Source organism: Homo sapiens, chromosome 13 (assembly GCF_000001405.40).
Source record: "Homo sapiens chromosome 13, GRCh38.p14 Primary Assembly".
Classification (NCBI taxonomy): domain Eukaryota; kingdom Metazoa; phylum Chordata; class Mammalia; order Primates; family Hominidae; genus Homo; species Homo sapiens.
Genome location: NC_000013.11, coordinates 40,548,416 through 40,562,688, shown reverse-complemented (window position 1 = coordinate 40,562,688; position 14,273 = coordinate 40,548,416). Strand labels below are relative to the sequence as shown.

At 42.1% G+C, this 14,273-nt stretch overlaps 1 protein-coding gene across 4 annotated transcripts in view; it reads left to right on the top strand.

Moving 5' to 3' along the window:
• Window positions 1-7,022, top strand: part of FOXO1 (forkhead box O1) — a 110,975-nt gene extending 103,953 nt beyond the window's left edge. For all 4 annotated transcript variants that reach the window (NM_002015.4, XM_047430204.1, XM_011535008.3 and 1 more), the window contains exons 2-3: window positions 1,829-3,180; window positions 3,655-7,022. In NM_002015.4, coding sequence (NP_002006.2) covers window positions 1,829-3,166 — 1,338 coding nt within the window. In that variant the 3' untranslated portion in view covers window positions 3,167-3,180; window positions 3,655-7,022. The remainder of the gene's footprint in view (window positions 1-1,828; window positions 3,181-3,654) is intronic.

Here is a 14,273-nt window from a genome sequence, read left to right as displayed (position 1 = left end):
GTTTGTATCTGTACTACTTCTAAGCTCCTATACATACCACACTGAATAGGAATAGAGAAGCAGGACTTTGGGGCGCAGGATACCACTATTCTAAGTTGGGGTCTAATATTCCCTTCATGGTGACTGCTTACATGCCAGGCACCGCTGAGCATTTTTATGTATCTCATTTAGTACATGTAACAACCCTGATAAGGCTCTGTAATTTAGCCCTGCTTTACAGGTGAGGAAACTTAAGACACATTAGGGGCTAGGCAGCTTCCCAAGGTCACCTAGGTAAGTAAGTAGCAGAGCCACCCAGGAAGTACTCAAAAGAAAGATTGTTGGTTTTTCTTCCCTAGTTGGCCTAGGGATGATAAACATGGCATGATTAGTTATGAAGCTGCGGTAGCTTGAGAGTTAGAGCTCTTTGCGTTCTCTGTCATTTCTTCCCATCCCAGGTTGTCTGTTTGGACAGTGTAGCCCCTGGCTACGTGGAGGTGTGTCATGGAGTTAGTTGGTGCATCCTGCTCATACTACTGGTCATTGGTAGAACTGGAGGGTAGGGGCACTACTTGAATTAAAAAAAAATTTCTTTTGGCAGGTCAGCTTTCTCAAATACAAAAGCAATGACTCTGTTTTCCTTACATTCACTTGTATTTGCTTAATGGGCTTTAAAGGTGTGAATGAATCCAAGTCTTATTAATTTGGGGGCCTTTAATTCTTGATCAGCTCTATATTTCTATATTCTTTTTTTTTTTTTTTTTTTGGCGACAGAGTGTTTAACTCTTGTTGCCCAGGCTGGAGTGATCTCAGCTCACCGCAGTCTCCTTCTCCTGCCTCAGCCTGCCAAGTAGCTGGGATTACTGGCGCCTGCCACCACACCCGACTAATTTTTGTATTTTTAGTAGAGATGGGGTTTCACCATGTTGGCTAGGCTGGTCTTGAACTCCTGACCTCAGGTGATCTGCCTGCCTTGGCCTCCTACAGTGCTGGGATTATAGGTGTGAACCACCATGCCTGGCCTATATTCTATATTCTATATATTCTATATTCTTTTGTCTTTTTTGTTTCTGTAAGTATGTGGGCCCAGTAATATAAAACTTCTTTATGTAAATGGCACAGGTTCAAACTGAAGAGAATTGGCAGTAGTTTTAAGGATAGTAGAATGGAAGGGGTTTTTGATAGCACTTTGATACAGAGTACTATTGTAGCTAAGCAAAATTTAAGCGGTTATTAAAACCAATTCCTTTGATTTTTCCATAAAATGTAGCTGTATAAAAGAAGGTATTTACAATACTCTTTATTAAATTTTGTCCCTTCATTAAATTAAGATATAGAATTTTTTTTTTTTTTTTTTTGAGATCGAGTCTCACTCTGTCTCCCAGGCTGGAGTGCAGTGGCACGATCTCGCCTCACTGCAAGCTCCGCCTCCCAGGTTCACGCCATTCTCCTGCCCCAGCCTCCCGAGTAGCTGGGACTACAGGTTTGCACCACCATGCCTGGCTAATTTTTTGTATTTTTAGTAGAGATGGGGTTTCACTGTGTTAGCCAGGATGCTCTTGATCTCCTGATCTCATGATCCGCTTGCCTGGGCCTCGCAAAGTGCTAGGATTACAGGCGTGAGCCACCGCACCCAGCCACAGATATTGTTTTTAAGATAAGATACTATTTATTCCTGTGCTATTTGAGATCTTTTGTAGTGGCTTCAGAGCCATTAGGACTGTTCAGATGGAAATCTGTAGCACACACTCTTAAGATTTTTTACTTGTTTTCCATGTAATACATGTAGAATAGGAAGTTTTGCAAGCAGAGAAGTATTGTACTTCTAATAAGATGTTTTGCCTTACAGAATTCAATTCGTCATAATCTGTCCCTACACAGCAAGTTCATTCGTGTGCAGAATGAAGGAACTGGAAAAAGTTCTTGGTGGATGCTCAATCCAGAGGGTGGCAAGAGCGGGAAATCTCCTAGGAGAAGAGCTGCATCCATGGACAACAACAGTAAATTTGCTAAGAGCCGAAGCCGAGCTGCCAAGAAGAAAGCATCTCTCCAGTCTGGCCAGGAGGGTGCTGGGGACAGCCCTGGATCACAGTTTTCCAAATGGCCTGCAAGCCCTGGCTCTCACAGCAATGATGACTTTGATAACTGGAGTACATTTCGCCCTCGAACTAGCTCAAATGCTAGTACTATTAGTGGGAGACTCTCACCCATTATGACCGAACAGGATGATCTTGGAGAAGGGGATGTGCATTCTATGGTGTACCCGCCATCTGCCGCAAAGATGGCCTCTACTTTACCCAGTCTGTCTGAGATAAGCAATCCCGAAAACATGGAAAATCTTTTGGATAATCTCAACCTTCTCTCATCACCAACATCATTAACTGTTTCGACCCAGTCCTCACCTGGCACCATGATGCAGCAGACGCCGTGCTACTCGTTTGCGCCACCAAACACCAGTTTGAATTCACCCAGCCCAAACTACCAAAAATATACATATGGCCAATCCAGCATGAGCCCTTTGCCCCAGATGCCTATACAAACACTTCAGGACAATAAGTCGAGTTATGGAGGTATGAGTCAGTATAACTGTGCGCCTGGACTCTTGAAGGAGTTGCTGACTTCTGACTCTCCTCCCCATAATGACATTATGACACCAGTTGATCCTGGGGTAGCCCAGCCCAACAGCCGGGTTCTGGGCCAGAACGTCATGATGGGCCCTAATTCGGTCATGTCAACCTATGGCAGCCAGGCATCTCATAACAAAATGATGAATCCCAGCTCCCATACCCACCCTGGACATGCTCAGCAGACATCTGCAGTTAACGGGCGTCCCCTGCCCCACACGGTAAGCACCATGCCCCACACCTCGGGTATGAACCGCCTGACCCAAGTGAAGACACCTGTACAAGTGCCTCTGCCCCACCCCATGCAGATGAGTGCCCTGGGGGGCTACTCCTCCGTGAGCAGCTGCAATGGCTATGGCAGAATGGGCCTTCTCCACCAGGAGAAGCTCCCAAGTGACTTGGATGGCATGTTCATTGAGCGCTTAGACTGTGACATGGAATCCATCATTCGGAATGACCTCATGGATGGAGATACATTGGATTTTAACTTTGACAATGTGTTGCCCAACCAAAGCTTCCCACACAGTGTCAAGACAACGACACATAGCTGGGTGTCAGGCTGAGGGTTAGTGAGCAGGTAAGTTCACCCCAATATCAAAAGACCTTTTGAAAAATAGAACTTAAAAGCGAGGAACACAGTAACTTGCCATGGTTAGCACATCTTTGATGTCAACTGACTGTCCCTTGCAGAGAGGGATCTTTTATCATTCATTCTCTGTCCTTTTTGCAGCTTACAGTTTTCCTTCTGAGCTTACACAGAAGGAAGCTTCCTTTAACTGCTTTAAAGATTTCTTTTTGACAGTTCGATGGCTGCATCTTTTTAGTAGCTCTTCAATAAATGAATACATTTGATATAAATCAAATGCTGAAGGGTTTTTTGTAAAGTAGAATTTTCCCCATTGAATGATTTTAGAGCTGTTTGAGAAAGCTCTAGCTTTTTGCCCCTAAGTATGTCTGTCACTCTTAACATGTTAAGTTGAATTGATTTTAATTTGGCTATATTTTCATTGTGTGTGTATGTGTGTGTGCGTATGTATGTGTTTTTTCCTAGGTTACACTTAAAAGTACTTCAGATTGTCTGACAGCAGGAACTGAGAGAAGCAGTCCAAAGATGTCTTTCACCAACTCCCTTTTAGTTTTCTTGGTTAAAAAAAAAAACAAAAAAAAAAACCCTCCTTTTTTCCTTTCGTCAGACTTGGCAGCAAAGACATTTTTCCTGTACAGGATGTTTGCCCAATGTGTGCAGGTTATGTGCTGCTGTAGATAAGGACTGTGCCATTGGAAATTTCATTACAATGAAGTGCCAAACTCACTACACCATATAATTGCAGAAAAGATTTTCAGATCCTGGTGTGCTTTCAAGTTTTGTATATAAGCAGTAGATACAGATTGTATTTGTGTGTGTTTTTGGTTTTTCTAAATATCCAATTGGTCCAAGGAAAGTTTATACTCTTTTTGTAATACTGTGATGGGCCTCATGTCTTGATAAGTTAAACTTTTGTTTGTACTACCTGTTTTCTGCGGAACTGACGGATCACAAAGAACTGAATCTCCATTCTGCATCTCCATTGAACAGCCTTGGACCTGTTCACGTTGCCACAGAATTCACATGAGAACCAAGTAGCCTGTTATCAATCTGCTAAATTAATGGACTTGTTAAACTTTTGGAAAAAAAAAGATTAAATGCCAGCTTTGTACAGGTCTTTTCTATTTTTTTTTGTTTATTTTGTTATTTGCAAATTTGTACAAACATTTAAATGGTTCTAATTTCCAGATAAATGATTTTTGATGTTATTGTTGGGACTTAAGAACATTTTTGGAATAGATATTGAACTGTAATAATGTTTTCTTAAAACTAGAGTCTACTTTGTTACATAGTCAGCTTGTAAATTTTGTGGAACCACAGGTATTTGGGGCAGCATTCATAATTTTCATTTTGTATTCTAACTGGATTAGTACTAATTTTATACATGCTTAACTGGTTTGTACACTTTGGGATGCTACTTAGTGATGTTTCTGACTAATCTTAAATCATTGTAATTAGTACTTGCATATTCAACGTTTCAGGCCCTGGTTGGGCAGGAAAGTGATGTATAGTTATGGACACTTTGCGTTTCTTATTTAGGATAACTTAATATGTTTTTATGTATGTATTTTAAAGAAATTTCATCTGCTTCTACTGAACTATGCGTACTGCATAGCATCAAGTCTTCTCTAGAGACCTCTGTAGTCCTGGGAGGCCTCATAATGTTTGTAGATCAGAAAAGGGAGATCTGCATCTAAAGCAATGGTCCTTTGTCAAACGAGGGATTTTGATCCACTTCACCATTTTGAGTTGAGCTTTAGCAAAAGTTTCCCCTCATAATTCTTTGCTCTTGTTTCAGTCCAGGTGGAGGTTGGTTTTGTAGTTCTGCCTTGAGGAATTATGTCAACACTCATACTTCATCTCATTCTCCCTTCTGCCCTGCAGATTAGATTACTTAGCACACTGTGGAAGTTTAAGTGGAAGGAGGGAATTTAAAAATGGGACTTGAGTGGTTTGTAGAATTTGTGTTCATAAGTTCAGATGGGTAGCAAATGGAATAGAACTTACTTAAAAATTGGGGAGATTTATTTGAAAACCAGCTGTAAGTTGTGCATTGAGATTATGTTAAAAGCCTTGGCTTAAGAATTTGAAAATTTCTTTAGCCTGTAGCAACCTAAACTGTAATTCCTATCATTATGTTTTATTACTTTCCAATTACCTGTAACTGACAGACCAAATTAATTGGCTTTGTGTCCTATTTAGTCCATCAGTATTTTCAAGTCATGTGGAAAGCCCAAAGTCATCACAATGAAGAGAACAGGTGCACAGCACTGTTCCTCTTGTGTTCTTGAGAAGGATCTAATTTTTCTGTATATAGCCCACATCACACTTGCTTTGTCTTGTATGTTAATTGCATCTTCATTGGCTTGGTATTTCCTAAATGTTTAACAAGAACACAAGTGTTCCTGATAAGATTTCCTACAGTAAGCCAGCTCTATTGTAAGCTTCCCACTGTGATGATCATTTTTTTGAAGATTCATTGAACAGCCACCACTCTATCATCCTCATTTTGGGGCAGTCCAAGACATAGCTGGTTTTAGAAACCCAAGTTCCTCTAAGCACAGCCTCCCGGGTATGTAACTGAACTTGGTGCCAAAGTACTTGTGTACTAATTTCTATTACTACGTACTGTCACTTTCCTCCCGTGCCATTACTGCATCATAATACAAGGAACCTCAGAGCCCCCATTTGTTCATTAAAGAGGCAACTACAGCCAAAATCACTGTTAAAATCTTACTACTTCATGGAGTAGCTCTTAGGAAAATATATCTTCCTCCTGAGTCTGGGTAATTATACCTCTCCCAAGCCCCCATTGTGTGTTGAAATCCTGTCATGAATCCTTGGTAGCTCTCTGAGAACAGTGAAGTCCAGGGAAAGGCATCTGGTCTGTCTGGAAAGCAAACATTATGTGGCCTCTGGTAGTTTTTTTCCTGTAAGAATACTGACTTTCTGGAGTAATGAGTATATATCAGTTATTGTACATGATTGCTTTGTGAAATGTGCAAATGATATCACCTATGCAGCCTTGTTTGATTTATTTTCTCTGGTTTGTACTGTTATTAAAAGCATATTGTATTATAGAGCTATTCAGATATTTTAAATATAAAGATGTATTGTTTCCGTAATATAGACGTATGGAATATATTTAGGTAATAGATGTATTACTTGGAAAGTTCTGCTTTGACAAACTGACAAAGTCTAAATGAGCACATGTATCCCAGTGAGCAGTAAATCAATGGAACATCCCAAGAAGAGGATAAGGATGCTTAAAATGGAAATCATTCTCCAACGATATACAAATTGGACTTGTTCAACTGCTGGATATATGCTACCAATAACCCCAGCCCCAACTTAAAATTCTTACATTCAAGCTCCTAAGAGTTCTTAATTTATAACTAATTTTAAAAGAGAAGTTTCTTTTCTGGTTTTAGTTTGGGAATAATCATTCATTAAAAAAAATGTATTGTGGTTTATGCGAACAGACCAACCTGGCATTACAGTTGGCCTCTCCTTGAGGTGGGCACAGCCTGGCAGTGTGGCCAGGGGTGGCCATGTAAGTCCCATCAGGACGTAGTCATGCCTCCTGCATTTCGCTACCCGAGTTTAGTAACAGTGCAGATTCCACGTTCTTGTTCCGATACTCTGAGAAGTGCCTGATGTTGATGTACTTACAGACACAAGAACAATCTTTGCTATAATTGTATAAAGCCATAAATGTACATAAATTATGTTTAAATGGCTTGGTGTCTTTCTTTTCTAATTATGCAGAATAAGCTCTTTATTAGGAATTTTTTGTGAAGCTATTAAATACTTGAGTTAAGTCTTGTCAGCCACAATGTTGTCATTGGTTCAAATCTGGTATTTCCTTTGGAGGAAAAGGGGAACAGCCCCTCTGGGACCAAACTATAGTCCCCTGAGATGGGGAACAAGTACAATCCTTGATAACAATCCTGGAATACTTCATCTTTGGAATGTCTGAAAGTACATCCGGTTCAGTAATTACTAGGCATATTAAGTCTTATGTTAGAACAGACTCTGCTAAAGGTAAAAACACCTTGAGGGCAAGTTAGGAGGGTCTGGCTAGGAGGTCACAGAGCAGATGCGGTGGATGGAGTGGCAGAACCCCATGGCTAAGGTCATAAGTGCTCCTCCAGTCACTACTGCACACCTTGCTGAAGGGGGAGGATCAGCCCTCCTTTAAGTGGCTGTAGGTGGGAAGTTTATGTTTGCTCTTTTCAGAAGATGTCTGAGGAATGAGCCAGGATTAGATTAAGATGGTTAAGATGCATTTTAAAATCATTGTGAAGCCCACTTTCTCCTAACTTCTGACTTTCTGACCAGACAAGTGAATGAGCTGGAGAAGCAAGGAAAAAGATTATTCTGTTTATCTGTGTAGACACTGAGGGTCCATCCCACTTTCAGAGTATTTTAAAATTTACCCACTTTTGGAAGTGGAAACCCTTTCTTTAAAAGACGTGATAGCCAGAAGCCCAATGTATAGAAGAGATGAAAGTATCTACCCCCATCCCCTGGGGCTCATGCACAGTTCAGTGTGAAAACTGTAGATGTAGTCCAAATGAGGAAAAACCCCTTGCTTATACCCTGGAACTCTAACCAGCTAGCCTTTCATAACTCTGCACATATATACAAAACTGCACATCCAATGTCATTACTTGAGGCCAGTTTCCAAGTTTTACATTAATTGATAAGCAACATATAGCAGGAAGGTTTCCCTGGGAGACCTCATAGGAGGAGCTCAGTGTTAGACTTTGTAGCCGGACAGGCTTCCTTCCTTGGACAGTTATCTAGGCCCTTGATGTGACCAGAGCTGATAGTAGAATCAGGATGTGTACCTAGGCTTGTTTCTTGATCTGTGAATCGGCCACACTGGAAGACCTTTGCCTTGGCTATTGTTTCTCCATGTTTCAGGTGACCTATAACAATGACACTACACTGGTTGGTGGGTTAGGTAAGGTAGGTGGAGGGCTGTTCCGCTGGATACACCATGTTTAAAAGTGGCAGTCTCTGAAGCAGACATCATCACGTACACATCAAACCTTGTATCATCTAGTGGTGCTCATTCTGGGCCCAGGTGTATGAAGGTATATTCCTGGTAGGTTTCCTTATTACAGTTTGTTGTTTTGGTATAAAAGTTGCTTTGGTGAGAAATAGTTTAACACTTAAATTATACCAGTTACATTTATTGAGAAAATTATTGGGAAAAAGCGGATTGGGGTACAAGTCCACTTTTCAAATCATAGACTCTGGGGTGTTTTTTAGTTTAACTAGAAAAAAATGGAATTTCCAGTGGACTGGAAAGGGAGGTAACTATATGCAGGGATAAAGGAGAAGAACAAGTAGTCCTGGGTGGTGGTGGGTAATACATCAGGAAACCAGACGTGAAGTGGAGCCGTAGGCCTTGGGAGGAAGCTATGGAGTGTCGTGGGGGCATCCGAAAGCTAGAGAGCTTTTGAAGCCAACGGGGAGAGGGGGCTTTCTGTTCAAGTGCTTGGCTTTGGTGATGTGGCTGTGAGAGGAGGGAACTCTGTACTGAGAAGGCATTCACCTGTTAGAAGAAGCAGAGTAAAACAGTTGGGGCCAGCTTTTCTTCCTTGACTGGTGGCAGGACACTTTTCCACCCCTAGGCCCTGGCCCCCATATTTCCACGAACTCCAAGGCTGAAGGAAATTTCTTGCCTTTAGTACCTTACTTATGCCATATCTCCCCAAAGTGACTCTTGTTTTCTTGGAAGCCACTGGTGGAAAGTAGAGATTTACATCCTTCAGGAAGAAGGTCGCTTGTTATTTGTCCTTTACATATTAACTTCTGTGAGCTTAAATCCCCGAACAAGCAACTTTGAGAAAGAATTCCTACAAAAACATATTGCAGATGGCAGCATAGGAGCCCTGCTGTGTTCTTGTAGTTGCTAGAGTTTCTGCAAACATACTTGGCTTGTAAAGTACTAAAATTGCTGCCCAAGTCGGATGACCTTAGATGAGACAGCTGCTTAGAATAAGGCTCACATTTTAAACCAGATTTTTCTCCCCTGATGAATTGGGATAGAGAGGAGGTCCATTTGCAGTTTAGCACTTGGTCCCAGAATAAGCCAGAGATGCCCACTTCTTAGTCTGTGCTGGTGTCAGGGACACTTGCAGTGTTTGCAGAGTGGGAAGCTCTGATGCTTGGGCAGCAATTTCCCCACAGGTAAATTGAGGATACCTTCTGTTACCTGTCTCACAGGTTTGATAGGAGATTAGAGCGATGAGGTAATGTCTGCGAATGGTTTCCTGTGTCAGGGAGAAAGCCTGCACAGCTGAGTGGTGTCACCTTAGGTAATAGTAGGCCTTGGGATGTTTCCGTAGTGGGGCTTCTGACAGCATCTCCCTGCAGGATAAGTGAGAGAACTATTTGGTTCATCCCCAATGTTTTTCTGTTTTTTGTTTGTTTTGTTTTGTTTTGTTTGAGACAAAGTCTCACTCTGTCACCCGGGCTGGAATGCAGTGGTGCAATCTCCACTCACTGCAACCTCCACCTCCATGGTTTGGTTGATTGTCATGCTCCAGCCTCCCGAGTAGCTGGGACTACAGGCATGCACCACCACGCCAGGCTAATTTTTGTATTTTTAGTAGTGATGGTGTTTCACCATGTTGGCCAGGATGGTCTCAAACTCCTGCCTGCCTTGGCCTCCCAAGTGATCTGCGTGCCTTGGCCTCCCAAGTGATCTGCCTGCCTTGGCCTCCCAAAGTGCTGGGATTACAGGCATGAGCCTCCGTGCCCGGCCGCCAGTGTTTTTCTGCTTTCGTATTTGCTGTGTTTCGTTTCTTAAGCAGGAGAGTGTAGACAGTTTACAGGGCCATTTCCAAGAGTGAATAGGCCTGTTTTTCTTCAGCAACTCTAAAGTATTATCAGTAGTAAAACTGTAAACCTATATCTGCCCAATAAAAACTAGTATTGATATTTATTCCCCAAGAAGTTCCCCAACATGGACCCGTACTAAGGAAATTTACAGACATTTAAGCTTTCTTGACCTTGACCTCATCCCAGTCTAGAATAGACTCTGTGGGACTCCATCTGTAAGATAGGGAGAGAGGAGAGGAGAGGAAAAGCCTGAGGTCGATGGGGCCACAGTAGTGTGTGTTGCAGCCCAGTCACCTGGTCCACAAAAATGAATGGTTAAACTTGCAGAAGTTTTGTGAGCCAATTTTAAATACCTTCATTATCAACAAGTCAGATAAACTATTATATTTAAAAACAAAGATAGTAAGTCCTCAAAACTCTTCACTTTGTAATTATTGTATTCATGTTAGTCTTGTCCACCATCGAGGTTGTTGGCAGCGACTGTGTTGCATGGTGAGGATGCTGTGTAATGGTGTGCTACCATAACTGACCCCAGGTGTGTCTGCTCACTGCTTGAAAGCCAGATTCGAGAGACAAGTGTTGGTGGGAGGAAAAGCAGGATTAATTGGAAAGCCAGGAAACCGAGAAGATGGGGAACTAGCCTTCTAAAGTACCATCTTCAGACAGTACAAATTTTAGGCTCTTTTTATGTTAAGGGCAGAAGGAAGGGGAGGGGATTGAGATCAAGAGGTAACAGATAACCACCGACATCTGGGTGCCAGCAAGTGTTCAAGGAACTTCTTTGTCCTTGGTCAGGTCACAACGCTCCTATAAATCTTTAACAAAAACATAGTTGTTTACATACTTCTCCTTTAATCCCAGAGTTAGTTTTTAAAACTACATGATTGCTGTTTTTGCATATTAATAGTACTCTAAAATTATCCTTGCCTATGTGCAGAAATGGGTAAGGGCCACTTAAACCAAAATGGAGTTAGTTATGTTAGCTCTTGTGCTGTTTCACTGTTACACTGCTGCTGTGCTGACACTAAGCAGAGTTTCAGCTTCACTAATATAATTTGGGTGAGAGTGAGAAATGGTTTAACAGTTAAATCACATCAGTTGATTGAGAAAGTAAATCTGAGAAAAAAAATGCATTGGGATGCGAGTCCATTTGTCAAGTCCTGGTTGGATTGCCACCATATGTTGGCTACGGATAAAAGTTGACCATAAAAATCAGTGAAAGAATTCTGTGAGAATCAATTGACCTAATATAATTTACAATAGAGAGTATTGTATGTTTTATTATTTGTAAATTGTTACTCATCTTTTATATCAGTAAATTCTTAATTTATGTACGTAAATACAGGCACACGTTATTTCCCCACAGAGCAGGTTGTTAAACATTGGCCAACACATCACCAACTGGGTGTATGAAGGCATTAAAGGACTAATGATTTTGGTGACAATAACAGGCAGAATGGGAGTAAGGGAAAGATAGAATAGGAGGTTGAGGGAGGGTCTGGGGTGAGGTCATGGCAGCAGGTGTCTGAGAAGCTGTGAAGGCCAGGGCCCTAGAGTAGAAGAGGTTAGGGGATGATAGGGCCTCAAGATTGAATGTAGCATGCAAATTAGATTTCAGAGCTAACCAAGGGACTTGGGGTGGAGAGGAGTCACATTTAAGTGCCAGTGCCTTTAATTTGGGGGAGAAATGCAGAGCCAGTAGCTGCTAGATGTCAGTGACTGGGAAGGGCACACAGCAGGTTAGGCTGATGCTGTAAGCATGGATACAGCTTTTAACATGAGGGTGCAAGAGGAAGATTCTGGAACTGGAAAAGGAATGCAGAGGATGCCAGTTCTGCTTTTTAGACTCATTTTTGATGGGAGGAATTATACCTGCATACTGGGGTTACTGTGGAAATTAAATAACCTGAGTTAACCCCCTATGGTAGTGCTTGGCATATAGAAAGGGCTCACAAAATGAGAGCAATCAAATGTTCTGATTTGCTTAGGAAAAGATGTTGTCCCAGCACAGTTATGGTTAAGTTCCTCTTGTTACTCAAAGTGTTCAGGTTTGGGTGATTAATTATATGTTCACCCTATTAACAAATGACTGCTTTTTAATTACTTCCTGGAACCCTCACCTCACAGTGGACATACCAAGAGCACCCAGTGGGTGAGAGGACTCAGAGGCCCCCTGGAAGAATCTTTCACAGGCTGGAGGGTTATTCTTCTAAAGGAATGTTAGCCTGGTGTCTCAGCATAAACTTGAATCTATGACACATACTACCATCTGAATGTTTGTGTACCTCTACCGCCCCATTTAAATGTTGCAAATGTTGAAATCCTGACCCTTGTGGTGATGGGGTTAGGAGGTGGGGCCTTTGGGAGGTAATTCGGTCATGAGAGTGGAGCCCTCATGAATGGGATTAGTGCCCTCACAAAAGAAACCCAAAAGAGGTACCTAGCTCTAGGTACCTCTTCCTAGAAAGTGCCATCTGTGAACCAGGAAAGGGAGAGGCCTTGGTCTTGGATTTCCCAGCCTCTAAAACAGGGAAATAAATTTCTGTGGTTTCTAAGCCACCTGGATTATGGTATTTTATTATAGCAGCCTGAAGGTACTCAGACAGCATGCAAGGTCCTTCCCAACCAACCTTTGCCTTTGCATCTCCACCATATGCACCAGTCACACTCCATTCCCTTTTATGCTTCCAGCCTTTTTGCATGCTGGAAGGTCTGTTTATCCAGAATGTCTGTTTATCTGGAATGTCTTTCTCCTCCCTTCCTTATCAAAGTCCAGCTCAAAGCCTTCCCCTATCATTAAAGTCCACCCCAACCCCTAGTGTCAGAGTAGTTACACAGGTGAACTGGAAGCATTTAAGACTCCTTTCCCAAATATAGCCTTGTGGCTGTGTTTAGCCCTGGCTAAATACTAACAATTCTCCTGAGGCAGCCCTGTAGCCATCCTAACAAGAAGTTTGGAGCCAGGCCTGCCTGACTTTGGGTCATCAACAGCCTTCCACTGAGCCTGAAGCAACTGGCCAGTGCAGTTGACCACTGGACACAGCCAAAGACATTCTTCTTTGGTGAGCCAGCCCACATCTGCCAACATTCCACCAAATTAAAAGCAGACCAAGAACCCCCAAGTATTTTGACAAGTCTGGAGCTGCTATTACTTCAACCGAGGCAAGTACAATGGCAAGAGAGAAAGGTATGGGCAATGATGAAATGTCTAAAAGGGATCATTGGCCTGCCCTCCAGCCAGCCATCTCCAGGGCTGCAGAATCCTTTCTTTACATATAGATTTTTCTCTGGGCTCCAGGGACAGAGTCAGCCCTTTCACTTAGCTCCTACTTCCAAAATTGCCATTAACAAGACTGAAATGCCAGTTTATCTACTTTCCCCCAGAAAGTGTTGCATGTCTATAGACACAGCTAGGATGTGCTCATCTTGGGACAGTTATAGTCTCTGAGTTTGTTCGTTTATTTTTTAACAAGACAACTGGCCACCCTTAATTAAATAGATATGTGATTTGTTTTCAAGCCACCTCATCTGAGAAGGACACCGCAGTGTTATTTGTAGTTTTTGCCTCGGTTGTGTGATGGGGGTGTGTCTCCATCTCTCCCCAGCCTAATGGGATTGGATAAAGTATGTGGATTTCATGTTCTGACTTTTAAAAAAAATTTAATTTGAAACACTTGAAATATTCAAATATTTTTGAAATATTTTAGAATTAAATATTATTTTGAAAGGAAAATAATTAATTCTCCTTTGCAAGACAGAAAAGTTTTTCCTGTTTTATTTCCCTACACCTACCAAAACAATGTCTTGGTGAAAAGGAGGACCTCCTGAGGTCAAGCAATTCTGTTTAGAAATAATTGGAAGTCGTGATAAAACATACCCTGAATTGGTTGGGCACAGTGGCTCACGCCTGTAGTCCCAGCACTTTGGGAGGCAGAGGCAGGCGGATCACTTGAGGTCAGGAGTTCCAGACCAGGCTGGCCAACACGGCAAAACCCCGTCTCTACCAAAAATATGAAAATTAGCCAGGCGTGGTGGTGCATGCCTATAATCCTAGCTACTCGGGAGGCTGAAGCAGGAGAATTGCTTGAACTCGGGAGGCAGAGGTTGTAGTGAGCTGAGATCGCACCACTGTACTCCAGCCTCGGCATCAGAGCGAGACTCCATCTCAAAACAAAAACAAAAACAAACAAAAAACCTCCCAAAAAACCTGAATAGAAAACTTCATG